This window comes from Homo sapiens, chromosome 15 (assembly GCF_000001405.40).
Source record: "Homo sapiens chromosome 15, GRCh38.p14 Primary Assembly".
Taxonomy (NCBI): Eukaryota; Metazoa; Chordata; class Mammalia; order Primates; family Hominidae; genus Homo; species Homo sapiens.
The window spans coordinates 24,004,064-24,030,762 of record NC_000015.10 but is presented as its reverse complement, the minus strand read 5'-3'; the positions used below and the strand labels follow the sequence as shown (position 1 = coordinate 24,030,762).

General features: G+C 37.7%; 1 long non-coding RNA gene across 1 annotated transcript in view; it reads right to left on the bottom strand.

Moving 5' to 3' along the window:
* Positions 1–26,699, bottom strand: part of PWRN4 (Prader-Willi region non-protein coding RNA 4) — a 113,008-nt gene that overhangs the window by 57,392 nt on the left and 28,917 nt on the right. The gene's annotated exons all lie outside the window — the stretch shown is intronic.

The following is a 26,699-nucleotide window of genomic DNA, read 5'->3' as shown; positions in this document are numbered from 1 at the left end:
ACCACTATGGGCAACTCTCCCTCTATTTGACCTGATTCCATTGTAGACAGCTCTCCATCTGTTCCACCCAATTCCACTGTAGACAACTCTTTGTCTATTCCACCTGATTCCACTGTAGACAACTCTCCATCTATTCCACCCAATTTCACTGTTCTGTGATTCCCAATAGACAGGGACTATGCTCCAAGCCACCATGAAGCAGTTACAGATTAAAGCATTGGTCCCTCTGCCTCCATAAAGACTTATGAGGACCACGTCTTTCAGGGGGGAAATGAGGCAGGAGAATAGGGGCCTGGAGGCAGGGAACCTAAGGACTTCCTAGAACTAAATGAATGGAAACACTTCAGCAATGACAGGAATGTAAATGGCTTTGTAACTCCAACCTCTTCATTTACATAGGGCACACACCAAGTAACCAATGGGAAACCTCTAGAGGGTATTCAAACCCCAGAAAATTCTGTAACCAAGGTCCTTGAGCTGCTTGCTTGGGCCCACTCACATCTGTGAAGCATGCTTTCATTTTCAGTAAATCTTTGCTTTTGTTGCTTCATTCTTTCCTTGCTTTATTTGTGCAAAACTTCTGTCCAATTCTTTGTTCAAGACACAAGAACCTGGACACTCTCAACCAGGAATGTACAGGCACAGTCATGTGTCACTTAATGATAAGGATATGTTCTGAAAAATAATGAGCTGTTAGGTGATTTTGTCATTTTGGGAATATCCTAATGTACTTACAGAACCTGGAGAATATAGCCTATTGTCCTAGGCTACAAACCAATATAGCATGTTATTATAGTACTTGTATATGTAAACACACTTCAACATTAAAAAGATATAGTAAAATATGGTATAAAATATAGAAAATGGTATGCCTGTCTAAGACAGTTATAATGAATGGAGCTTGCAGGACTGCAAGTTACCCCAGGTGACTCAGTGGGTGAGTAGTGAGCAGATGTGAAAGCCAGGATGTTACTGTACACTATTGTAGACTTTATAAATGCTGTACACTTAAACAATAAACTTATGAAAATTGTTCCCCTATATTCAAGTATTAAAACATATCTTAGTTTAACTTTTTAACTTAATAAACTTTTTGATGTTTAAAGTTTTTGCTGTTTTGCAATAATAATTCGCATTATACATTGCACATCTGTACAAAATATTCTCTTTATATTCTTATTTTTGAGCTTTTATCCATTTTAAATTTTAAAGTTTTTCCTTTTAAACTTTTGCTTAAAACTAAGATGCAAACACACAGAATTTCTTAGGCCTTCACAGAGTCAGAATCATCAGTATCACCATCGTCCACCTCCACATCTTATTCCACTAGGTGGTCTTCGGGGGCAGTAACAGGCATGGAACTGTCCTCTCCTATGATAAAAACAACTTCTCTGGGGCCGGGCACTGTGGCTCACACCTGTAATCTCAGCACTATGGGAGGCTGAGGCAGGCAGATCATGAGGTCAAGAGTTGGAGACCAGCCTGGCCAACATGGTGAAACCCCATCTCTACTAAAACTACAAAAATTAGCCGGGCATAGAGGCGGGAACCTGTAATCCCAGGTACTCAGGAGGCTGAGGCAGGAGAATTGCTTGAGCCCGGGAGGTGGAGGTTGCAGTGAGCCGAGATTGCGCCACTGCACTCCAGCCAGGGCAACAAGAGGGAAACTCCATATCAAAAATAAATAAATAAATAAAAATAACTTCTTTGGCTACCTCACGGGAAGCCAAGATAGTGACACTGCTTTCTGATGGTTCAGTGTATGCAAGCTTTGTTTCATGCACAGTTATTAAAATATTGTATACAACTAGCTTCAGGCTATCTGTGTAAAGTATACTTGAAATATAAATGCCTGTTCCACTCCCACTGCTTCACTTGGCTAGCCTTAGAATTTTTTAAAAATAAAATAAAATATAAATAAATCCATGTATAGATTTGTATCCAATCTGTCAGGTCCTAATTAGCGAAAGGGAATCAGGCTGGAAGGACCAGGGGAAAGCAAAAGAGATAAAGCAAAGAGGCTATCAATAGGCCCTTCTGCATGTCCAGAAAATTTAAACAAGAGAAAGCAGGTAAGTTACAGGTCTGCTTTTCTTTATGGCCCAGGACATATGGTCCAAGACATATGGCCCTCCTGCTCAGATAACATATATAACTCACAACCTTCCTGCTTACTATGAGTTGCCTCAATTTATCAAACACCCCTGACAGAAGAATGCAGGTTAAGTGCCCTGCTACTTGGTGTTATCAATCAGCCCAAGTTCCATTCTATAAAATCCTCAGCAATCCTTTGTGTCCTCACAGTTAGCTTCCCTCATGCTAACTTGTCCGCTGACTTTTGTGCAACATATTTTCCTACTTTCTCTAATAAATCTAACCTATCTCTAGCTACGGCTGTCTTGGTAAAAATTCTTTTACCCCATGCACTGCTGTCCATTGTTCCTCTACATTTTAGTGGCCCATAAGGGGACTCTATTGTACAGGAACTCTCTCTCCTCACAAGGAACTCCCTCCCTTCTCTCTCTTTCCCTTTCCCTATTTTGGACCCTCATTGAAGAGTGTCTAAGCACAGAGACAATTGCAGGTTTCTGGCCACGACTATACTCTGGGACTGAATGGTGGGACTGAAGGGTCCCCATGTGGAAGCAACTGATTGCTGCTGCCTGGTTCGGGTGAGTGACCTGAATCCTTTTCTCTTTTCAGTCTTTCAGTGGCCATTTACTAGTATCTCTTTGACAATTGAGGGTAACTGGCCAGGGTCACTCTCCGGAGTTGTCTGAAGGCCAAAAAGTGAACAAGGATAGCCGCTCTGCCCAGAACGAGGGAAGGCTCTCTCCTCTCTTTTCTGGTTATAGTCCCTCATCCCTACATGGGAGACAACTGACAGTGGAAGCTTGTTTCAGGTAACTCATACACTCTCTTTCTCATTCCAAATTCTCTTGTGGACAGTCAGCCAGCCATCCTGTTCTGGACTTGCCAAATCAGATGATCTCAGACAGCCTAAGAATGATGAGCTTTCCTACTGGGCTGGAACCAGATGAAGATCTTCCTTTACCTTCTTTCCTCGTACCTAGGCTGATCACTCAGTGAGAGTACCTGGACTGGCCATCCAGCATAAGGCCCTTGAGGGGCCGAGTGGTCTTTTCCAATAGGTGGGTACACCTTTAATGTACCCGGAGTTCCTTAGGGCTGCTGGCCCTTGAGCAGCATGTTTTCCAGTCCAACCGTAAGACCAACCCTGTCCATTCCTGCAAACTCACTTAGGCTGTATTTTAAAGCACTGGGACAAATTCAACCCCCAAACCCTCAGAAAGAAACACCCTCTTATGTAATACAACATGGCTCATATAAGAAAAACCCTCAAATTGCCCTCCCTAGCCTAAATTTATAATGGAGAGCAAAATGAGGAGAAAAGGGTTAAAGAAAAAAGCAGAGACAAAAGGGAGGCTCAAATGTTGGCTGCTTTACAAGCCCCATCCCCTTATAGGTTTAGGTCCGAGGAGCTAAAGGAGAAAAACAAAAGGAAAAAAGGTGCTGGCTCCACACCCTACAGTGGCTAAGAGGCTCACAAGCTCTCCTGTAAAACGTATCCCTTTCTTCTCCACTCCTTTCTTTTCATTTTTCTGTCCAATCCAAAGATCCAGCCTTAAAAGGGAAAAAAACAGTTTCTAACATCTAACCCCTGATTTTGTCATTCTCTTTAAAACTCCAGCTGGTTACTTGTTATAGCCTGTTTCGGTGCACATTTTAAACGAATGGGCAAATCACTATCAAAAAAAAAAAAAAAATCAGAGCTCAAGTGTTTAACCTGCACTGTAAAGTAAAATTTGCTAAATAAAGCTATCTTCCCCTTTTCTTTTCTGCCTGCTTTAAATCTGCTTTCACTAAGCTGCTAGTGCTGAGATAAAGCTCATTGTTTATGGTCTATCTAAAATGTAAACATTAAAAACTCATTTGAAATTAAAGCATAAAAGAGCTTTTATTAAAACAAACTGCCATAAAGATTGTTTTACCCCAAATTTTGGTTCAAAGCTCTCCTTGGATTGCAAAGGTAGCCATATAAACAGGTTTCAATTTTATCAGAAAAATAACTTAAGTCAGGTATCTTTTATAGGTTAGTAAATTTGTAATACTGAATCATGGCCAAAATTCTAATGTAAAAGCTATTCAATCTTTGTATATATATGTATGTATTCATGTTTAAATATGTTTATGCAATGTACATGTTATCTTGTTTTTTTGTTTAGCATGCTACCCAACTGGCAATATAAATAAATCAGTACACATAAATCACGTCCAAATACTTTTCAAGCTCACAAGAGCCTTAAATAAGCCAGCTTTAAAAATTCTTGATAAAATAATATAAACAATGTCTTAAAAACTGTGAATATGTATTTTTTTGTTTGGGTTTATTGCCCTCTAAAAATTTCTCACACAATGGAATTCTGTCTTAATTCTCCATTTCTGTGTATTATATGATATATATGTGATGTTTATAAAAAAGAGCTCTTATTAATTGGATTAAAGAAAAATAAGTGCTTCAGGCCGGGAGCGGTGGCTCACGCCTGTAATCCCAGCATTTTGGGAGGCCGAAGGGCGCAGATCACGAGGTCAGGAGATCAAGACCATCCTGGCTAACATGGTGAAATCCCGTCTCTACTAAAAATATGAAAAACTTAGCTGGGCATGGTGGTGGGCGCCTGTAGTCCCAGCTACTCGGGAGGCTGAGGCAGGAGAATGGTGAGAACCCATTAGGCAGAGCTAGCAGTGAGCCAAGATTGCACTACTGCACTCCAGCCTGGGCGACAGAGCTAGACTTTCATATCAGAAAAAAAAAAAAAAAAGGGGGCTTCAATCAAACATATTGTCAAAAAATGGAAACTTTAATGGCTTTAGGTCACATGATTCTAATCTTTAAACAAAGACAGTTTTAAAGATTGTTGGTAAAATAAATGTCTTCAAAGTTCTGACATTTAATCTAAATTAGGCAAGCTAAGTACTGTTTGCTAAATGTTTCAAGACCATAAACTGCTTCTATGACTTTAATAATTGTTTAACTTTTCTGTTTTCCAGCGATTACATTCTAGGTAAGGCCTAGGAATATATGGAGTTAGGCAAGTCGCCTGGCTAGGCTTAGAAAAGTTATGGGCTTTGCAATCTTATAAATGGTTGAAGTTGCTGAATTACTAGATTTCTCACCAAAAGTAAAAGTTGCTAAGAGTTAACAGCGTAACATGTACTTAAACTACTAGAAGAGCAGTTTTAAGAAAAGTAAAATGTGTTTTTGGCAAAAGTTTGTAAGAAGGTATGAGAATATGATTTTTCTTAAAGGGAATGTAATTTTGTTTAGTTGAGAAGGTTTTAAGGATTGCCTTAACCTAAAAGTAATGGAATAAAACAGAAGGTTTAAGCAAGTTGTAATAGGTTTCTAAAAGGTTAATCTTGTAAAGAAAATTCTGTGGATCTCCTTAACAAATTGCTAAGATTTGAAGGAGATTGTTTAGTTTTTGCAGATATTAAATACTTTAAAGTCCCAAAAAACCCATATTTGGCTTATTTGGTATTAAATTCATATAAGAAACATTATCAAGTACAAAATGGTGTTTAGCATACTTTGAGTTACACTTATATAACTGTGTTATTGTCATTGATGTGTGTTCCAGAATTTTATAAGATTCCCATAATTGTGATATGTCTCAGTATACACTATCAGTAATAATTATGATTGTTACGTTAAATTATTGTGTGCCACAGAGATAACCAGACCTTAACCATGGGTGTTCTAAGACTTCTTTCATCTACAATTGTTTTACTTAGTTATTGTCAAGGTCGTTCTATAATCAGTTATAGAACTCTTAACAGGTGCTCTTGGATGTGGGTTGCTGATAACTTAAAAGATTGTGATATTAAAATAAATAGCTTCCAAAAACTCCAATTGAAAGCTAATGTGTTCCCAAATATTGAGCAGAGTAGGAGTTAATTACATAAACTAACAAAATACTAAAATCATCTTTTTATGATATTTGGATATTACTAATTTTTTATTTTTCAAACTCCAGAAAAACTTTTTAAGCTACTTATAGCCTTTTACAATTAAATGAAGTACAATCTCATCACCAAAAATCTGAAGCATATTTCTCCAGAATTTAAAAACTATTTGTAAGTATACTGAGTTTATGGCAGTATAGTTATTTGTATAAGTTCTTTAAGTATCTGTTTTCTTTTATAACAGGACACAACTGGAAACACTGGTTATTTTACCAAAGCTTTGGCTGGAATGGCATGCTTTCAAATATAAACAAATTGCTTTAAAGAAGCAAAGCTGACTTACAGAGCCAATCAAAGCTGGAAAAATTGGCCTCATACCTTGTCTTCAGTCCCTGTACAGGGTTTCTTGCTTGCAGTAAGTAAAGAATGTCACTTTCAAACAGGCCCAGGAACCCCAAGTTATTTTGGGTCCTCAAGAGGAGAGGAATTTACACAACTCATACAGGTATTTAATGGCACAAACCCACGACTGGGCTCAAGGCTTTAACATCTGAGATTCCTTATGGAATAAAGTTTCAGCAAAGCCAATTTTTAAAAAGACTATATATGAAAAATAATTATTCTTGCTGACTTTATGCAAACAGTCAAACCAAGTATAACATGACAAAAACTTATTTTGGCAATAGATTTGTCCTACTATAATTTGTCTTTAGTAAAAACAGGGACTGGAGAGAAAAATTATGTTTCAGAAAAGCTGTAGTATACCTGTTGTCAAATTCTAGTCTTGTCCAATGTTTTCACATTTTTCTTATTTTCCGTAGTTTTAACTGAATCCTACAAGTTCCCAATCTAATACTTCCCATTTGTTTTCCTTTCAGTTTTCTAACTTAAACTCAACAGAGCTCTTTGCTAAGGTCCTGCAAACTGAAACTCTATAATACAGGCAAGAGAAAGAAAAAAAATGCCACTGCCTTTCTCCTCTATAACTAAAATTGCTTTAAGTCTAACATCTGCATGAATTGTGCCCAATGCTAATCTTTGTTTTTTTTCTATTTACATAAAAATACCTCTTATTAGAAATTTGTCTGCCTTCATCATACGTAGAGGCCTGTAGGCTATCTTCTACATCAGCAAGTCCGAGGGTCTAATTCTTCCCTAAGGGCTTTAACACCAGCCCATTGCAATTACACTTCAACTATCATCAAACACACCAAAACGGGAGACGAGTTCACTACGTGTACCTCTGCAGGTTTTCTCTATGGTGGGGAAACAACGAAGTTAATGGCAGCAAAATTTGTAGTAATTCCTTTATGCCTATAAATAGTTCAGCAACCAGGATGGAATATGTAAGAACGGGGTCAAGACTAGACAACTTCTCAACCTCACTAATACATTTACAACTTTTCCTCAATTTTCTCTTATCCCACTAATATTTAAAAGTCTTTTCTATCAGGCTCCACTTTGTCACCTATAACAGTGCTCATATTCATTTATTTGCACCATGTATTATTCATGCAATATCTTGTTTTGTGTCTTCTAGAATGCAACAATTTTGAACCAAGAGGTTACTGTAGCGAAAATATCAGTCAGTAAGAGAAATTCATAAATCTCCTTTGGATGCAGCAGGACAAAATTTTAGGCTGCAAATGTTGTTCCCCTACTGTCCCACATCAACTCTGCCCAGTTTAAGTCCCAATTCAAGGATTTAGGCCCATGTAACCACCTGACCTACTAACAATCCTAGATGGGGCCAGCTCTACACCTCCAATCAGCAGGAAGCAGTTAGAAGATAAGACCTTCACCCACATGCCACACTTCAGGACCAGGGGAACAAAAAGAGTTAAAGCAAATAAGCTATAAATATGCCTTTCTCCATGTCCAGAAAATGTAAACAAGAGAAGGCAGATAAGTTACAGGTCTGCTTTCTATATGACTGAGGACATATGGCCCAAGACACATGGCCCTCCTACTCAGAAAACATACATAACTCACAAACTTCCTGCTTACCATCATATGCCTCAATTTATCAAACACCCCAGCGGACGCCAGCTGAAAGAAGAATGCAGGTTAAGTGCCCTGCTACCTTGACATTATCAATTAGCCCAGGTTCCATCCTATAAAATCCTCAGCAAGCCTTTGTTTCCTCACAGTTAGCTTCCCTCACGTTAACTTGACCATTGCCATCCTTGCAATGTGTTTTCCTACTTTCTCTAATAAATCTGCCTTTCTCTACCCATTAGTCTCTTGGTAAACTATTTTATCCTTGCACCACTGGCCATTGTTACCCCACACCACCATCCATAAAATATCTCATCATGTATATGAAAATATTCCAAAACCCCAAAATTCCAAAATCTGAAATACTTCTGGTCCCACACAGTTTGGACAGGTAATACTCAACCTGTATTTTCAGGGTATGATTATATTAACAGAAACATCTAGCTTACTGTTAGAGCAGTAGGCTATATACAAGTAAGGGGTAATGGGTAGATAGAGTCCTGTGTTACTGAATCAGATCATGTGTGGCTGGAAACAATAGATTCACCTTGAATTTAATGTAAATGAATATTGACCCATGTTAACATATATATTCTGTGTCAGTAAAACAAGAATGCACAGATGTATTTGTTTGCTTTCTCAGGTACAAAGTCTTGAATCAAAGATTTCTGATTCACAATGTATAAACTTGGTGGCTAAATCTTCATTTCTAATTCCATTTTCTAATTTAAAAAAGCTAGAACGCTATGAAAATTGATTAGAGTTCAATTAGGTGGCAAATAAGCATAATTATCCTGGAGCATCTAGTAGTCCCAAAACAATAGAATATGCTAGAAAATGACACAACCACATATCGAACTGCAAACATACAGGTATTTGAAATTGATTGGGGATACAATGAAAAAACTTCCCAGTGGCATTCAGCCTAAACTCAATTACACCAAGCTTCCATGGTTCTGAGGATTTTGGTCTTGCACTTAGGTGCACTACCAGCATCCCTGCATCTACAGCTTCCAGAAAGCCTTTTGTGGAAAATCTCAGCCTGGATCTATACTTATGTGAGAAAATACCATAAATAAATCCCTTCTCATCTACCTATCTACCTACCTACTTACCTACCTACATACATACTTATCCATTCTATTGCTTCCGTCTATTTGGATAAAATTAACTAATACAAATACTGGTAATCAGAATGGTTCCAGAAAAACATTTTATTTTTTAAATTGTTTTTATTGAGATGGAGTATCGCTATTTATTTCTCTTGCCTGATTGCCCTAACCAGAACTTCCAATATCATGTTGAATACAAGTGGTAAGAGAGGGCATCCTTGTCTTGTGTCCATTTTCAAATGAAATGCTTCCAGCATTTGCCCATTCAGTATGATATTATCTGTGGGTTTGTCATATATAGCTCCTATTATTTTGAGGTACGTTTCTTTAATACCTAGTTTATTGAGAGTTTTTAACATGAAGGGATGTTTTTTGATATACTGCTAGATTTGGCTTGCCAGTATTTTGTTGAGGATTTTTTCATTGATGTTCATCAAGGATATTGGCTTGAAGTTTTCCCTTTTTGTTGTATCTCGTCAGGTTTTGCTATCAGGATGATACTGGCCCCACAGGATGAGTTAGGGAAGAGTTTCTCCTTTTCACTTTTTGGAATAGATTCAGCATAAATGGTACCAGCTCTTCTTTGTACCTCTGGTAGAATTCAGCTGTGAATCCATCTGGTCCTGGGCTTTTTATGGTTGGGAGGCTATTTATTACTGCCTCAATTTCAGAACAGAACTTATTATTGGTCTATTCAATTTCTTCATGGTTCAGTTTTGGGAGGGTGTGTCAAGGAATTTATCCTTTCTTCCAGATTTTCTACTTTGTGTGCGTAGAGATTACAGTTACAGTATTCTCTGATGGTTGTATTTCTGTGTGGTCAGTGGTGATGTCCCCCTTATCATTTTTGATCGTGTTTATTTGAATCTTCTATCTTTTCTTCTTTATTACTCTAACTAATGATCTATGGCCAATCTATTTTACTAAATTTTCAAAAAACCAGCTCCTGGATTCATTAACTTTTCAAGGGTTTTTTTGTGCCTCTATCACCTTCAGTTCAGCTCTGTTCTTGGTTATTTCTTGTCTTCTGCTAGAGCTTTGAGATTTGTTTGCTCTTGGTTCTCTAGTTCTTTTAGTTGTGATGTCAGGCTGTTAACTTGAGATCTTTCTAGCTTTTTGATATGGGCATTTAGTATTATAAATTACCCTCTTAAGACTGCTGTAGCTGTGTCCCAGAGATTGTACATTGTGTTTTTGTTCTTATTAGTTTCAAATAACTTCTTGATTTATGCCTTAATATCATCATTTACCCAAGACTCATTCAGGAGCAGGTTGTTCAGTGTCCATGTAGTTGGGTGGTCCTTTTGGCTTTTCTTTGTATGTTTAAATTTTCAATGTAATCAGAAAACTGCTCATGTAGTTACAAAAAATTATGAATTCCCCTGCTATACTCATAAACTTGAAGATAAACTCTGAGTCTGATTAAATTCAAAACACATTTTCATAAGATTTAACATCCAGGTTATCTAAATAGACTTCCTATAACTGCAAGTTTTACTCTCTGCCTTTCTGTAAACTGGTTTAAGAAACATTTTTTTTGCTTTGTTTTATCAAAATAATTCTATACTTTCTTTATTAGTTTTTTAATTGCTAAAAAAATACCTAAAAGGGTTAAGGTTTTTACATTCATGTAACCTTCTTTATTGCCTTCAGAGTGTTTTGATTATTGCTTTGGTAAAATGAGCAACTACTGTTTTACAACGACCGGTGGTTCTGTTTTAATCAAATGTTTTGAAACTCTTAACATCTTTAACATCTTTGACAGAGGTAAAGTCAAATCCTAAATTAAGTCTCTGACATATTGCTGAAGTTTGTATCAAAGCTATAAAATTAATCACTGAATGATAAATTTTTTTTACCACTTCCAGTCAGGTCATGGACCATAGTATGACCACCTCCAGCCCCTTAAAAAAATCCTTATTAGGTGCTATTAACTATCCTTGTGCTGTTATGTTACAGAGCTTTGACTCCTAAGTACACATATCTCATCTAAAAAGTGGCACCGACTCCTGCCATTATCTAACACCAAATTCAAGTTAACCAAAGTCTCATCTTGGCACCAGGGCAAAGGCAACAATCAGAGTAAACTGCTTTCAAGAGTCACCAGGACATACTTCGATTTAAAAACATTACAATTCTTAGATCCTTCAATATATAGTTCTATATGGGCTACTAGAATTGGTGTTTGGTCTGATATGTGGCTTTTTATGTAATGACATCCTTTGATTGCTATTTCTGTTTATACTAGTATTTCTATATCTACTACGTGTGCTGTCCGTTGATTTGTGATGTCAACAAATGCTTGGCTGTAGGTATATAAGGTGGGTGAGTCGTCTTTAGTCATGTCACGTATGCTTTCTTCCAAGGTGTATTTAGGAATACATAAAGAACTTCTATGAAGATGCACTGATTAAAAAGCCAAGGCAGGAGGATCCCTTGGGCCCAGGAGTTTAACACCAGCCTGGACTACATAATGTGAACCTGTCTCTATAAAAAATAAAACGAGCTGAGCATGGTGGTGTGGACCTGCAGTTCTAGCTTCACAGGAGACTGAGGTGGGAGGGTCACTTGACCCCAGGACTTTGAAGCTACAGTGAACTGTGATGGTGCCAATGCACTCTAGCCCAGACAAAAGAGTGAGACCTTATCTCTGTTATTATTTTTTTAATTATACTTTAAGTTTTAGGGTACATGTGCACAATGTGCAGGTTAGTTACATATGTATACATGTGCCATGCTGGTGTGCTGTACCCATTAAATCATCATTTAGCATTAGGTATATCTCCTAAAGCTATCCCTCCCCCCTCCCTTCACCCCACAACAGTCCCCAGAGTGTGATGTTCCCCTTCCTGTGTCCATGTGTTCTCATTATTCAATTCCCACCTATGAGTGAGAAAATGCGGTGTTTGGTTTTTTGTTCTTGCGATAGTTTACTGAGAATGATGATTTCCAATTTCATCCATGTCCCTACAAAGGACATGAACTCATCATTTTTTATGGCTGCATAGTATTCCATGGTGTATATGTGCCACATTTTCTTAATCCAGTCTATCATTGTTGAACATTTGGGTTTAGAATGACAATCATTAAAAAGTCAGGAAACAACAGGTGCTGGAGAGGATGTGGAGAAATAGGAACACTTTTACACTGTTGGTGGGACTCTAAACTAGTTCAACCCTTGTGGAAGTCAGTGTAGTGATTCCTCAGGGATCTAGAACTAGAAATACCATTTGACCCAGCCATCCCATTACTGGGTATATACTCAAAGGACTATAAATCATGCTGCTATAAAGACACATGCACACGTATGTTTATTGTGGCACTATTCACAACAGCAAAGACTTGGAACCAACCCTATCTCTGTTATTAAAAAAAGTAGATGCACTGAATAGATATGTGTATGGAAACTCTTCAGGCATTGTATTGGGTCAAATGAATGTCAAGGAAATGGTCTAATTGAGGCTCTAAATATTATTGTTATCAATTCCTTGGTTTTCCAGCAACTGTTCCAAACATGATATATTTTTGTAAAGTACAAATTGTGGAGTGTGTTCTGGTAATCCTACAAATTTAGGTGCTGTGTGAGTTTGCATTGTTTGATATGCATATATTATCTGATATTAAAAATTAAACATAACACTGCAAATAAACTAAGATACAATACCCCACTGATGCATTGCATCTTCATCTGTTCTAACAACACAGCATAGGGTTGCTGTTAGCAGTGGTATGGCAGTTTGAGTAAGGTGAGGTACATAAAGCAAAGGTAGTTCGTTCTATGGGTTTTCTCTTACCTTATTAAGCAGTTTAGCAATACAATCTATATGACAGGGGACCACCGTAATCCTCAAAGCCTGTGTATTCAGCTGAGCTTAAAATGGTTCCTAATGCTGTACTTACTTCACAAACACAGAGAGGATAAAACTGGTAGTGGTGTCTGGTTTCCACCAGGTCTGGTTTGACATTCCAGTTTGGGCCTATCTGATGGAGCTCACATGCTTCAGCTGATTCATCAAGAAAATCTGGTGAGATGGTCATAAAGATCCTAGACAGTGAAGATGTGGCTGAAGATAAAGAAAAAGGTGAATAAGGCAAGAACATAAAGGGGTGATAAGAGATCTTGGAGTTGCTGAATGTGATCTTGGAGATGCTAAGTCCATACACTGGAGGTGCATTACAGGTGTTGGTGTGCAAATTATTAATCCAATGATGTAATTAGCAAGAAAATAGTGTAATTTTTAATTTTTCTACAGTGAGAGAAGTGTGTGCTTGCATTACTCTGGTTTGCAATCTCTGTGGTGGCAATATAAGGAATCACAAGACTGTAAAGTCACTATGATGGCTAGTAAGATGTGAATAACAAAGGTGGTAAGACCAACAGTTGAGAAGCTACAAAAATTCACAGGTGTGATGTTGTCTTAAGCGAGTGACATATTTTATTATTCCAGTGATGGCTATAAGTGATGGTATTAGGTTAGTAGCAAGTAAAATTCGATTGAATTCAATACAATTTCAATTACATTAATACAATGATTAAAAAACAGCAGTGCAGTACCAATTTTGCAGAAAGTATAATAACAAATATAGTTCTAGTGAAAACCAGGAGAAAGGTTGCAGATTGTGTATAATTGTATTTCTCCTATTTTTCCTATAGTCCAGTAAGTATTTACATGTCCATTGGCCACAATGTCCACTTGGGAGATACTGATGTCATTAAGTTTAGTGCTCACCTTGTAAGATATAGATAATATTTACATCATTTTCTTCCTTATTCTATTTTTTTTTTTTAGACAGGGTCTCACTCTGTCACCCAGGCTGGAGTGCAGTGGCATGATCTTGACTCACTGCAACCTCCGCCTCCTGGGTTCAAGTGATTCCTATGCCTCAGCCTCCCGAGTAGCTGGGATTAAAGGTATCCGCCATGACACCTGGCTAATTTTTGTATTTTTAATAAAGAACGGGTTTCACCATGCCCTTTTCAGGCTGGTCTCGAACTCCTGACCTCAAGTGATCTGCCCACCTCGGCCTCCTAAAGTGCTGAGATTACAGGAGTGAGCCACTGCACCCAGCCTCCTTATTCTGTAAGACCACTAAGGTCAGTTGATTAAAATAAGAGTAGGGTTGCTCTCATTGAGTCTTTCTCATTGTTTTAAATTAAAACGTATCAGGTTATTGGATTGTACTCATTTTTTCCTAAAGTTTTTAATTCTCTTTTTGATAATCCATTTTAAATCTATATATATGCAGCTGCTGTGAGATGATAAGGTAGGAAAAAAAATTCCATTATATATCCCATTTATCTGCCAATGCCTGTTATTGCTTGATGCAAAATGAGTTACCTGATCACTTCCAAATTTTTTAGGGGCTGCACAGTGAGCTACCATAAATTCTAAGGCTGAGATGGTGTATTTGGCAGGTAAGTGGCTAACTTTATTGCTATGCAAATTGCTGTACATATATCCAGCTTTTTTAGTGCATATGTTTGTGGGTAGGGATGATTCAGTATCCAATAAAAATCTTTTGTTAGCCCAAGTTGAACGTGCCAGGTCTATGGGTTTAGTGTAACTATACTTTTCTAGATTGGTTTTATATTGTTCACAATTACCTATGCCGTATTGAATTTGATGCCATGCCACTTTTAATTTGTCTGATCGCCACCTGTACAGTGATCATGTGCCTAAGTCTCTTTTTTTCATTATATACTTAGAGGTGTGTTTGTGAAGTGTAAGCTGCTTCTGGTGTCTGTTTAATTGTAAAATCACTTTCCTGTTTTACTATAATTATTAGGGGTACTTGTGGTATCTCCCATTTATTGTCCAATTTTCTGCTGCATTGTAGAGGTGGTACTGAAGTGTCCCATGAGTTGTCTGGATTTCTGTGTTGCTTTAGTTGGGGTGTGTTTTGTGTGCAATGGTTATATTCCCTGATAATGCATCTACTTGATTATAAAAATTTAAGGTCTCTGAATTATATTTTTGTTGTACTGTTGTATGATAAGTATCTTAATTCTGTTTGATAACTCACTTCCTCCCAATAAAACTTGGACCATATATCTTTACCATTAATTTTAAAATCATTTTGTATCTATTTGTGTGACCATAGGTTTATTTCATTTGCAACTGCCCATGAGTCTGTAAAAATGCAAATTTTATGTTGTTTTTCTAATACTGAGTCTCTGACTGCTAGAACATCTGCAATCAGTCCTGCACTCTGTGCAGAGAGTAACTGATCTGCTTCCTTCAGGATTGTGTGGTCCTGGGATCTGAGTGCTGCTTTGTCCATTGGATCTGGCTTTGGGTCACGGAGGCTCATCCGTCTGTAAACCAGGTGTTGAGCAAGACATTAGACCAGACAGGGCCCCATTTGCCGAGATTGACATGGATTGTCCCTGTCCTCAGAATACATTCTGGCAAGTCTATTTCAGTCTTGACAATCTCCTCAGTGAGGAGACCTGGTTGACCCTTAAGGCCAGTGTTTCAACCCTGGATGCACCATTTTCAGGTGAGCAGCTTTAATCAATTTGGATACCTGTCAATTCTTCAGGACTCAGTTTTATCCAGTGAAGGAGAGCCACATAGCATCTAACTGTAATGATGTTGTTGCCAGGCAAAAGCTCAGTATCTTAAGTACATGTAGGCCATGTACATTTTTCAAATGGGCTTTTAATTTGTTGTTAGTGTGAAAATTTTATTGTACAAAATCCCACTGGCAGGAAGAATTTAGAATCTAATTTCTTTGTCCACAATGACCATGGACCTTTCCACATTCAGCACGCATCAGAATTTCCAACCAAAGTTGTGAATCAGAAGATGGATGATGCAAAGTGTGAAATGTGTTAATGTAGCCTTTCAGTGTTGCAAGTGCTTATGTTTGTTTTTGTCCCCACACGAACTTGGAAATTCTTAGTTGTCTTATGTATTGGTTTTAGGATGATGTTTAAATAGGCATATGCTGTCTCCCATATCCAAATAAACCTACTAATCTTTGCCCTACATGTTAATTGATGCCTTAGGGGCTTTTATCTATCATTATCATCATTACTTTTCTCCCTTCTAATGGCTGTTGTACTCCTTAAAATTTGCATTTGGTGTCTGGGCCTGTGGTTTGTCTATATGAATAGTCTATCTCAGTGATCTTAAAAGCAATATTAATTGGGATGTTTCTTGTTTAACATTTATCTGGCCATTGTGTTAACATTTAATGTCATGTATGTATATTATTAATGATGTGTATTTTAATTCATCTATGAGTGATGATAAAATACAGTGGGCTGGCCAGGCGCGGTGGCTCACACCTGTAATGCCAGCACTTTGGGAGGCAGGCGGATCACGAGGTCAGGAGATCCAAACCGGATATCCTAACACGGTGAAACCCTGTCTCTACTAAAAATACAAAAAAAAAAAAAAAAAATTAGCCGGGCATGGTGGCAGGCGCCTGTAGTCCCATCTACTCGGGAGGCTGAGGTAGGAGAATGGCGTGAACCTGGGAGGCGGAGCCTACAGTGAGCTGAGATTGCGCCACTGCACTCCAGCCTGGGCAACAGAGCAAGACTCCGTCTCAAAAAAAAAAAAAAAAAAAATACAGTGGGCTGTTTAATTGCCTTGCATTAAACTTTTAAATTAGTATTTTTTGTCTTTGTAAATAAAGTTGGTATATTCCTGGTTTTCTTTACTGGTAAAACAAAGACACTATCTAACAAGTCTATGGTTACATAGTCTTTTTGATTATAGTAAGAAATTGTAATAATAAATTCTACATCTGGTAATGTTTCTGGCATTTTAGGTGAGACTTTATTTAAATTGGTATCATCAATAGTTCATCTATAGCTCTCATTTGGTTTCAGGACAGGCCATACTGGACAATTAAAGTTATTCAATATGCCCATTATAGTAATATCTTCTTTGAGGAGTCCACATCCTTTGCTTTTATTTCTTCATGTATTCCCTGTAATGGGTACTGTTTAGTGTATGTAGCCTGGTGGGGTGTAGTCACTGTTAGAGGTTTCATTTTAATTTGTGTTAGGTCAGAGAACTTTCATTCCTTTAGTTTCTTAATAAGCCACCTCAGGTTTAAAAGCTTTGCAATCAATCCATTTCTGTAATGTTTTCTAATTTTGGTGAACAGTAAAACATGCAAGAAATACATTTATAGTGCATATAGAAGCAGAGACTGGGGAGACTCTAGTTAATATTCCTCAGTCCTTTATAGAGATGTTTGTATCAAAGTGTGGTACGCTGTATCTAAGGAGGCTTATTTGTCATCTGGTGTCTAAAAGAAATGTGTCCATATGTGTATATTTGTCTATCTCTATAGCCAGTGTATATATGTCCTGTGATCCCCAAGTTCAAGTATTATAGCCTGGGGGGGTCCAAGATTTAAGAAAAAAATGTCTTGTAAAATTTCTGTTTTCACTGCTGTTTCTGAAGAGGTGGGTTTAGTCTTGGAATTCAGGAGTGTCTTTCCCGTTATTTTGGTATCCGGATGGTGGCCTTAGATGGTCCTGTTGCCAGTTTGGCCTTTATGTCCTTGCTTGCCAATCATTTTGTTTAGATTGTGAATTACTTTACATGGGTTACCAATTTCTCTATGTTGGTTTATTTTGCCAAGGTATACAGCCCAATTTTAAATAAAATTTGAGACTTTTATATTGAACATAAATTTAATTTTAGTGCCTTCCAGGGTTTATTTCTTAGTATTTGTATTAGGTTTGTAATAAATATTACCTTATAGGCAGCTGATTTATCTGCCAAAAGTTTGAGTGTTTCCAGTGTATCTTACATGTTTGTCCATGCTGAGAGAGTGTTCCTTTAGGAGACTTTCAGGTTAGGAGGTACTCATAATAGGTGCTCTTAATTTCATTTGAAGCTAGAATTTCAAATGAGTGGCATATCACTTCTAGCTATAATATACCAATTGTAAAATGACTAATTTCCTTATATTTCTTTGTGGCTGATGGTAAATCATTGCATTTGAGTCCACCTCTAAATTTTGTTGGGTCTAAATATGGTTGGATGGATCTACAGGTGAATGTGACCCAGTCCCAGAGATTATAGGACATGTTTTGGGTATTTTATTGTCAGTTCTATGCTGGCAGACCAAACAGTGGATCAAAAACGTTTTTCTGATCCACTTGAAGCCCCTCTGATCTGGGAAGGCTCTGTAAGATAAAACCTCAATATTCTTCTGTGGAAACAGAATGGGCCACCTCTCAGGGATACATGTTTCAGTCCTCAGGATGGTTACAATCAGAGGATGGCAAGGTTCATCTACCAGCTGCCGGCCAATGGAAACCTTCACCAGGCCTTCCACCAAAGTAAGAATAAAACCTATCAATTGCCCCAGAGATTGTTTTCAGGTAAAAATGTGCTACCAACAGTCAAATAGGTCATTAATGCTTGTGAGACTTGCCTTAAGAATTATCCCCTCAATCAACAGCTTATTACCCCCAGAACCCAAAGAACAGGAGCTACCCCAGGGAAAGAATATGTTTCCCAGGCTGTTCTTGAACTCCTGGGATCAAGCAATCCTCCTGCCTTGGCCTCCCAAAGTGCTGGGATTATAAATGTGAACCTTCACACCAGGCCCAATATTAGACCTTATTGTTTGAGAAACTGAGTCTCTTCTCTTTCTATCAAATAATAAAGGTTTTGGTTTTTAAAAATATTTAAAATACCATTTTTGGCTTAATAATTTATTCTATACTGATCACTGGTTCTGTTTTGTAACATCAAGTGTCTTGAACCTTTGATATTTGACAAAATTTCCAAATCGAATTCTAAATTCAGTCTTAATGGCCTAATTAACTTTTTAAATATTAGTTCCCCTGAAGTCCAAGAGAGACACATTTGGCCTATTTCATGTGTTAAAAATCATACAGGTTTTAGGTCTAACATTTAAGTCTTTAATCCATCTTGAATTACCTTTTGTATAACGTGTAAGGAAGGGATCCAGTTTCAGCTTTCTACATATGGCTAGCCAGTTTTCCCAGCACCATTTATTAAATAGGGAATCCTTTCCCCATTTCTTGTTTTTGTCAGGTTTGTCAAAGATCAGATGGTTGTAGATATTCGGCTTTATTTCTGAGAGCTCTGTTCTGTTCCATTGGTCTATATCTCTGTTTTGGTACCAGTACCATGCTGTTTTGGTTACTGTAGCCTTGTAGTATAGTTTGAAGTCAGGTAGCATGATGCCTCCAGCTTTGTTCTTTTGGCTTAGGATTGATTTGGCAATGCAGGCTCTTTTCTGGTTCCATATGAACTTTAAAGTAGTTTTTTCCAATTCTGTGAAGAAAGTCATTGGTAGCTTGATGGGGATGGCATTGAATCTATAAATTACCTTGGGCAGTATGGCCATTTTCACGATACTGATTCTTCCTACCCATGAGCATGGAATGTTTTTCCATTTGTTTGTATCCTCTTTTATTTCATTGAACAGTGGTTTGTAGTTCTCCCTGAAGAGGTCCTTCACATCCCTTGTAAGTTGGATTCCTAGGTATTTTATTCTCTTTGAAGCAATTGCAAATGGGAGTTCGCTCATGATTTGGTTCTCTGTTTGTCCGTTACTGGTGTGTAAGAATGCTTGTGATTTTTGCACATTCTCCAACAAATTTACAAGAAAAAAACAAACAACCCCATCAAAAAGTGGGTGAAGGATATGAACAGACACTTCTCAAAAGAAGACATTTATGCAGCCAAAAGACACATGAAAAAATGCTCATCATCACTGGCCATCAGAGAAATGCAAATCAAAACCACAATGAGATACCATCTCACACCAGTTAGAATGGCAATCATTCAAAAGTCAGGAAACAACAGGTGCTGGAGAGGATGTGGAGAAATAGGAACACTTTTACACTGTTGGTGGGACTGTAAACTAGTTCAACCATTGTGGAAGTCAGTGTGGCGATTCCTCAGGGATCTAGAACTAGAAATACCATTTGACCCAGCCATTCCATTACTGGGTATATACCCCAAGGATTATAAATCATGCTGCTATAAAGACACATGCACACGTATGTTTATTGTGGCACTATTCACAATAGCAAAGACTTGGAACCAACCCAAATGTCCAACAATGATAGACTGGATTAAGAAAATGTGGCACATATACGCCATGGAATACTATGCAGCCATAAAAAGGATGAGTTCATGTCCTTTGTAGGGACATGGATGAAGCTGGAAACCATCATTCTCAGCAAACTGTCGCACGGACAAAAAACCAAAACACCGCATGTTCTCACTCATAGGTGGGAACTGAACAATGAGAACACATGGACACAGTAAGGGGAACATCACACACCGGGGCCTGTTGTTGAGTGGGGGGAGGGGGGACGGACAGCATTTGGAGATATATCTAATGTTAAATGACGAGTTACTGGGTGCAGCACACCAGCATGGCACATGTGTACATATGTAACTAACCTGCATGTTGTGCACATGTACCCTAAAACTTAAACTATAATAAAAAAAATCACACAGGAAGCATGGTTGAATATTTAACTTACTTTGGGTTCTATTTATCTAAATGTTTTATTAGTTTGTGCTCCATTATCATATGAGATGCTAGTAATTCTGATATGTCTTACTATATGTTATCGGTAATAATTATGATTATGTTAAATTGTTGTATGCCACAGAAATAACCAAATTTCCTTGTCAGCTTTGCCTGTAAACATGCTGTCTTAGTTTTTCATTCACAACTATTATTTTACATTAAATATTCTCAAAAAAGTGGTTTATAAAAAAGCAGTGGGCCAAAACTCGCTTCTTCAGTGGAGTTCATGAAAATGACTCTGACCAGTTTTCTTGAATTTAGGTTTCTGATAACTTTGGAGATTGTGCCATTGTACTAGTGAAAACAACAATAAAAAAAAACCCAAAAAACTTCCAGAACTCTAATTAACACGCTGATGTGTTCATGAGGATTGCTAAGCCAATATAAAGTAGAACAAGTTAATTATGTGGGACTGAACTAATAGAAGACTGAAATAACTTTTTAGGACTTTTTTGTTTGAAACATTGATGACTCTTTTCGTTTTGTTTTTCAGAGTAAACTTTCTAAAAGTTATTTACAGTTTTTAACAATTGAGTACAGAATACTCTTGAGAAAAATTTGAAGCATATTTCCCTCTACCTGTACTTCTCCAAAATTTGAAAGCTATTTCTGAATATTCTTAATATACAGCAATATAAGTTATTTGCATATAATCGATAATAATCTTTTTTTTAATGGGACACAATTGGAGATGCTGGTTATCTTGCCAAGGCTTTGCCTGGAATAGCGTATTTTCATCTATAAGCAGATTGCTTTGAGGAATTTAGGTTGAATTATAGAGCAATAAAATCCTCCTGGAAAGACGGGCTTTGTACCTTCTCTATGCAGTTACTTTGCAGGTTTTCTGACCTGTGGCAGGAAAAGTTACTTTGAGAGGCCTAGGAACTCCAAGTAATCTTGTGATCTCAAGATGAGAAGAATTCTCCCAATTCATGTAGTTATTTGCAGGCACAGCAAATACTTGGTTGAGTTTGAGAGGCTTTTTGAAAAGTCACATCTTAGATACCTTATTAAAAATGCTCCATCAAAGCCAATTTATAAGAGCCTATATGAAAAAAATTATTCTTGCTACACTTTGTGAAAATAATCACGTCAAGTAAAATAAACTAAAACTTATTTTGAAAATAAATTGGTCCTACTATGATCTGTCTTAAGTAAAAATGGAAGACTGGAGAAAAAAATATAAATTTCAAATGAAATTATAGTATATCTTTTATTGGATTCTAGCCTTGTCCATTGCCTTCCAGTTTTATAATTTTCTACAATTTAGCTGGACTGGATCCTAAATTCTTTGCTGGCTACAAATATCTAAACAAGCATTTTCAACATCTTTTTTTTCTTCTTTCCCATTTCTTCTGACTTAGGATCAGTAGAAATTAAAACTGTGCTTTTCATAAAGCCCTGCAGACTGAAGCTAGAAAACTTAAACTTTGGGAGAAATAACAGCATCTTGTTTATGTACACAAAATATTTTCATGACTGTCTAGTGATATATGGACTGCTCTGTAATATAGCCTGTATAAGTTTTCCAGAATCGCTTTCTACTTTGTTGCTATAATCCAGCTGTTTCCTTTTTTCTTATTTCTTTCCTTTCTTTCTTCTTCCCCCTATTTCTTCACAACCTTCTAGAATGAGTCTTCTTAAAAATGTGCAACCTAACATTCTAGGAGTAAACCATTGTAGTGTTGAAATATCAGGGAGAAAAACATAACCAAACACTCATTTTCTTCTAAAATGCTTTCTCTGAAATATTTTAAAGAACAAGGAAAATAAAATCTTGGGACCCCAAACTCACTATGCCAAAGGAAAACTTGGGAACTGAGTCATGCAAATACCACCTTCCTTTTGTTTCCCAAACAGACAGCTGTAATTTCACAAGTTCACTTATCTTATGTAAAATGTATATCTACCAAGCATTAAAGAAATGCACATCAACTTTTTCCCCACTCCTCTTTACACTTGTAACATAAGAATGTAGTGAGTGCTAATCAAGGCCTTACAAGAATGTACCACTTGACCCACTGCCTATCCCCTACTTTATTTTCTTTTCCTCCTTTTCATTCAGTGTGGTCTCACCCCCATAAATACTGAAGTTAGCAAAACCCTCTTTGGAAAAAGTACAGGTCAAACATCCTACCGTTACTTGTGTTTCCTTTTCCCAGGCATAACCTTAAAATTGACAAAATAATTTTCTAAAATGAATGAGATACGTCTCAGTTGTTTTTGGTTTACAAAGGTCTACACCAAACATTAAAAGTCAGTATTTGCTACTATTGACAGCTTTTTTCAAGTAATTTTCATATGCATCAATTGTAAAATACATTGTTATTTTATGTCTCAATAAAAGCATAAAACTATGGAAAACTGTAACTCTTCTTACCACTTAAAAATTTTATCTCATATATAGTGAAAATAATACTTTTGAACTTACATATATGTCTTATGTAACTCCTATGATCACATGAGATAGAAAATAAGAGTAAAATAGATGATATGGTTTGGCTTTGTGTCCCCACCCAAATCTCATCTTGTAGCTCCCATAATTCCGTGTCATGGGAGGGAGCTGGTCAGAGATAATTGAATCATCTTTCACTGGTTTCATCTTTCTCATGCTGTTCTCACCATAGCCAATGTCTCATGAGATCTGATGGTTTTAAAAAGAGGAGTTCCCCTGCACAAGCTCTCTCTTGGCCTGCTGCCATCCATGTAAGACATGACTTGCTCCTCCTTGCCTTCCACCAAGATTGTGAGGCCTCCCCAGCCACATGGAGCTCTAAGTCCAATAAACCTTTTTCTTTTGTAAATTGCCCAGTCTCAGGTATGTCTTTATCAGCAGCATGAAAACAGACAAATAGGTAATATTTAGATAAAACTCTTCTAAATCACTTTTCAACTTAGGTTGTCCATGAATTTTCCCAACATTGCATCATCACTACTAATTAGAAGCTTTGTTGATGCCACAATTATTGTGAGTACCATAAAACCTTCTGTTAGATTATCTTTCTTAACTACTGATATCCCACTATGAGTTATATTAACAGTATCACCAGAATGTGAAAATGAGTTTTTTACACCAAGTTCATGTGTGTGCACACAAAGGCAATCACATTATGACTGTCTTCTGATTAACAGTGTTCTTACAATATTAATTTTATGATCCATCTCTACTTGAAATATGTAAAAAATATGCCCTTTAATATAAATGGAACACGCTCTTTTTCTCTATGACTGCCTCCTTCTCAGCATAAAATCATGGTGGCTCATCTGATGTATTCTGGTCTATTATTGAAGAAACATGCTCAACTAGTTTCAAATTAGTTGAACAACTGGGTTTACCTGCTACCTAAGGATTAGAGTTAGAGTTATTACTGCACTACAAGAACTCCTATTTTAAATGTTGCTGTGAATTATTTAAATTTCATATTACTTGGGCATTTATTTTGGATATAGGTTTGATTTGCTCATACCAGAAATAGGGTTTAGAAATCCATGATAGTTTCCAGTTTGTGCCCTCTTCCAATTTCCTCAATGTGGTAATTCCATATTTGTCCTTATAAAATGCTCTCCAGGTGACTATTCCACGTAGGACAGCTGGACACAACACTTATTTCACCCCCACAGACCCTTCAGGGAAATGCATAGATATTCTGCAATAACCAACTCTTGGTCACAGCACGATGCTATGGAAATCATGGTTGCTTGACATTAACCCAGCACTTTGAACTCCTCATGAGAAACCTGCTTGGGTGACACTCCAAAACCCAATTGTGATGTTTTATTTTAGGAGTCAACTAACTGTATTAGGGAACACCTAGAACACTGGCAAAGCATTGCTTCTGGGTCTATGAGGGTTTCACCAGAAAAGTCTGATACGTGAGTCAGTGGACAGAGTGCGGAAGATCCTGTGATAGAGCAGGGACCCCTTGTTAGGGGCCTATGGGTTCCCCAAGCAGGGAAATAAAGGAAAATCGTGAGTCCCTTCAAGGCAAATCCCAGGTACCTAGCTAGCACTGAGAAGTCAATGAAGAACTTGATAAGCAAGAAGGTAATAGTAGCTCAAACAATAGCCAAGGATGTTACAGTTAGAAGATGTTTGTTTTGTTCCCCATGAAAACCAAAGATACCATCTTAACATACATTGCTGAGTCATTTTTCATAAACCTGGACCCCCACCAAATGGATCTGCTGACACGGAGACCTCAGATAAGAGAGACCTGAAGGCTGAACTCTGACTGCTGTTGTCCTAAATATCTTCCTAAGGGGCCTACAGGGAGTCATATCCGTGAGCCAGAGCTAACACGTTTTTCTACTGACCCCAAATTTTAAAACAAAGCTTCTCTTCTTTAACCAACTGCAAATCAGAAACCCTTGAATCTGTATATAACCTATAAGCCCCTGCTTGAGCACTGCTTCGAGATATCCCATCCTTGGCCAGGCACGGTGGGTCATGCCTGTAATCCCAGCACTTTGGGAGGCTGAGGTGGGCGGATCACAACGTCAGGAGTTCGAGACCAGCCTGGCCAATATGGTGAAACCCTGTCTCTACTAAATTTACCAAAATTAGCCGGGCATGGTGGCAGGTGCCTGTAGTCCCAGCTACTCAGGAGGCTGAGGCACGAGAATTGCTTGAACCCGAGAGGCGGAGGTTGCAGTCAGCTGAGATTGTGCCATTGCACTCCAGCCTGGACAACAGAGTAAGAATCCGTCTCAAAAAGAAAGAAAAAGGAAAGAAAAAGATATCCCATCGTTTTATAACAAAACCAATGCAATACTCCATGTATTGATTTATAGTTTTGCCAAAAACTTCTGCTTTCCTGAAATTTACCCCTTCAGTTAACCCTTACCTACAAGCCATTGGGGAAGTGGGAACTTAAGCATTAGCTGCGTGATTCTTCTTTCTTGACAGCATGCACATAAACACCTCTTTTTCTCCCACTGCAAACATCAATGTAGATACCTGGGCTTGCTGCTCTGTGTGAACAGACCCCAGTTCGGTTCTGTAACAATCCACTCACTTTGTGTGTGAGCAATATCCAGTGGGCTGAGGGCCCAGAAAAAACAAAAAAGGAGTGAAAATGATTTTGCTCTCCCTCTCTCCTGGAGCTGGCACACTCTCTACCTCCTGCCCTTGGACATCTTAACTACAAGCTCTCTTCCTTGGGACCCCAGAACTTACTTCTGCATCCCTCCACATTCTCAGGCCTTTAACCTCAGACTGGGAATTACATTGTCAACTTTCCTCATTCTGAGATTTTCAGACTTGGAATGAGCTATGCTACTGGTATTTCAGCGTTTCTAGCTTGCAGAAGATCTGCCTTAGGTTCCATAATCATGTGACCCAATTTCTGTAATTAATCTCCCCCCATCTGTCTGTCTATGTATCTATCCTATTTGTTCTCTCTCTCTAAAGAACCGTAATACAGATTTTTTTTAACCATGAATGGGTTATAGGGAACAAAATTTCAAGGATAAGTTTTTTTCACTGGCTTAGGGGTTTCTAAAATTTTGGATCGGTAACCTGATGATACCTAAAAATGCTTAAGACTCTACTTCTAATAGTAAAGAGAACACACTGCTAGTCCATTTCATGAACTGCTTAAGAGACATGCAAACATCTGCCTTTGACACTAGTAATCAACCACTGATAAGAGGCAAGGAACTTGGTGACTCTGAAAGCATTATCTTTAAATATCAGTGGAAAACTTAAGGACTCTGCTTCTAGTGTTGCTGAGCAAAGGGATGAATAAAAAAAGATAAACTAAGAGATTCAAACTTCAGAATCCAGCTCCACATAAAAAGCCTTACAGTGCTCTGAGAGAGAATTGTATCTCCTGTAGTCATAGGGCTGAAAATGCTGAAAATGAAACACAAGCCATCACCAAGCAGTTGGCTGAATTACTGTGAAAGTTGACTTTCCAGCCTAGCAAGGTGTCTACTGTAAATTTATAGCACTGTTCAGGAAAGAATGAAACCCTGTAAACTGGGTTAGGAACATGTTGGGAGACTGTGTGGAGGTTGGAGACATTGAGCTCTGAAATTCTGATGTCT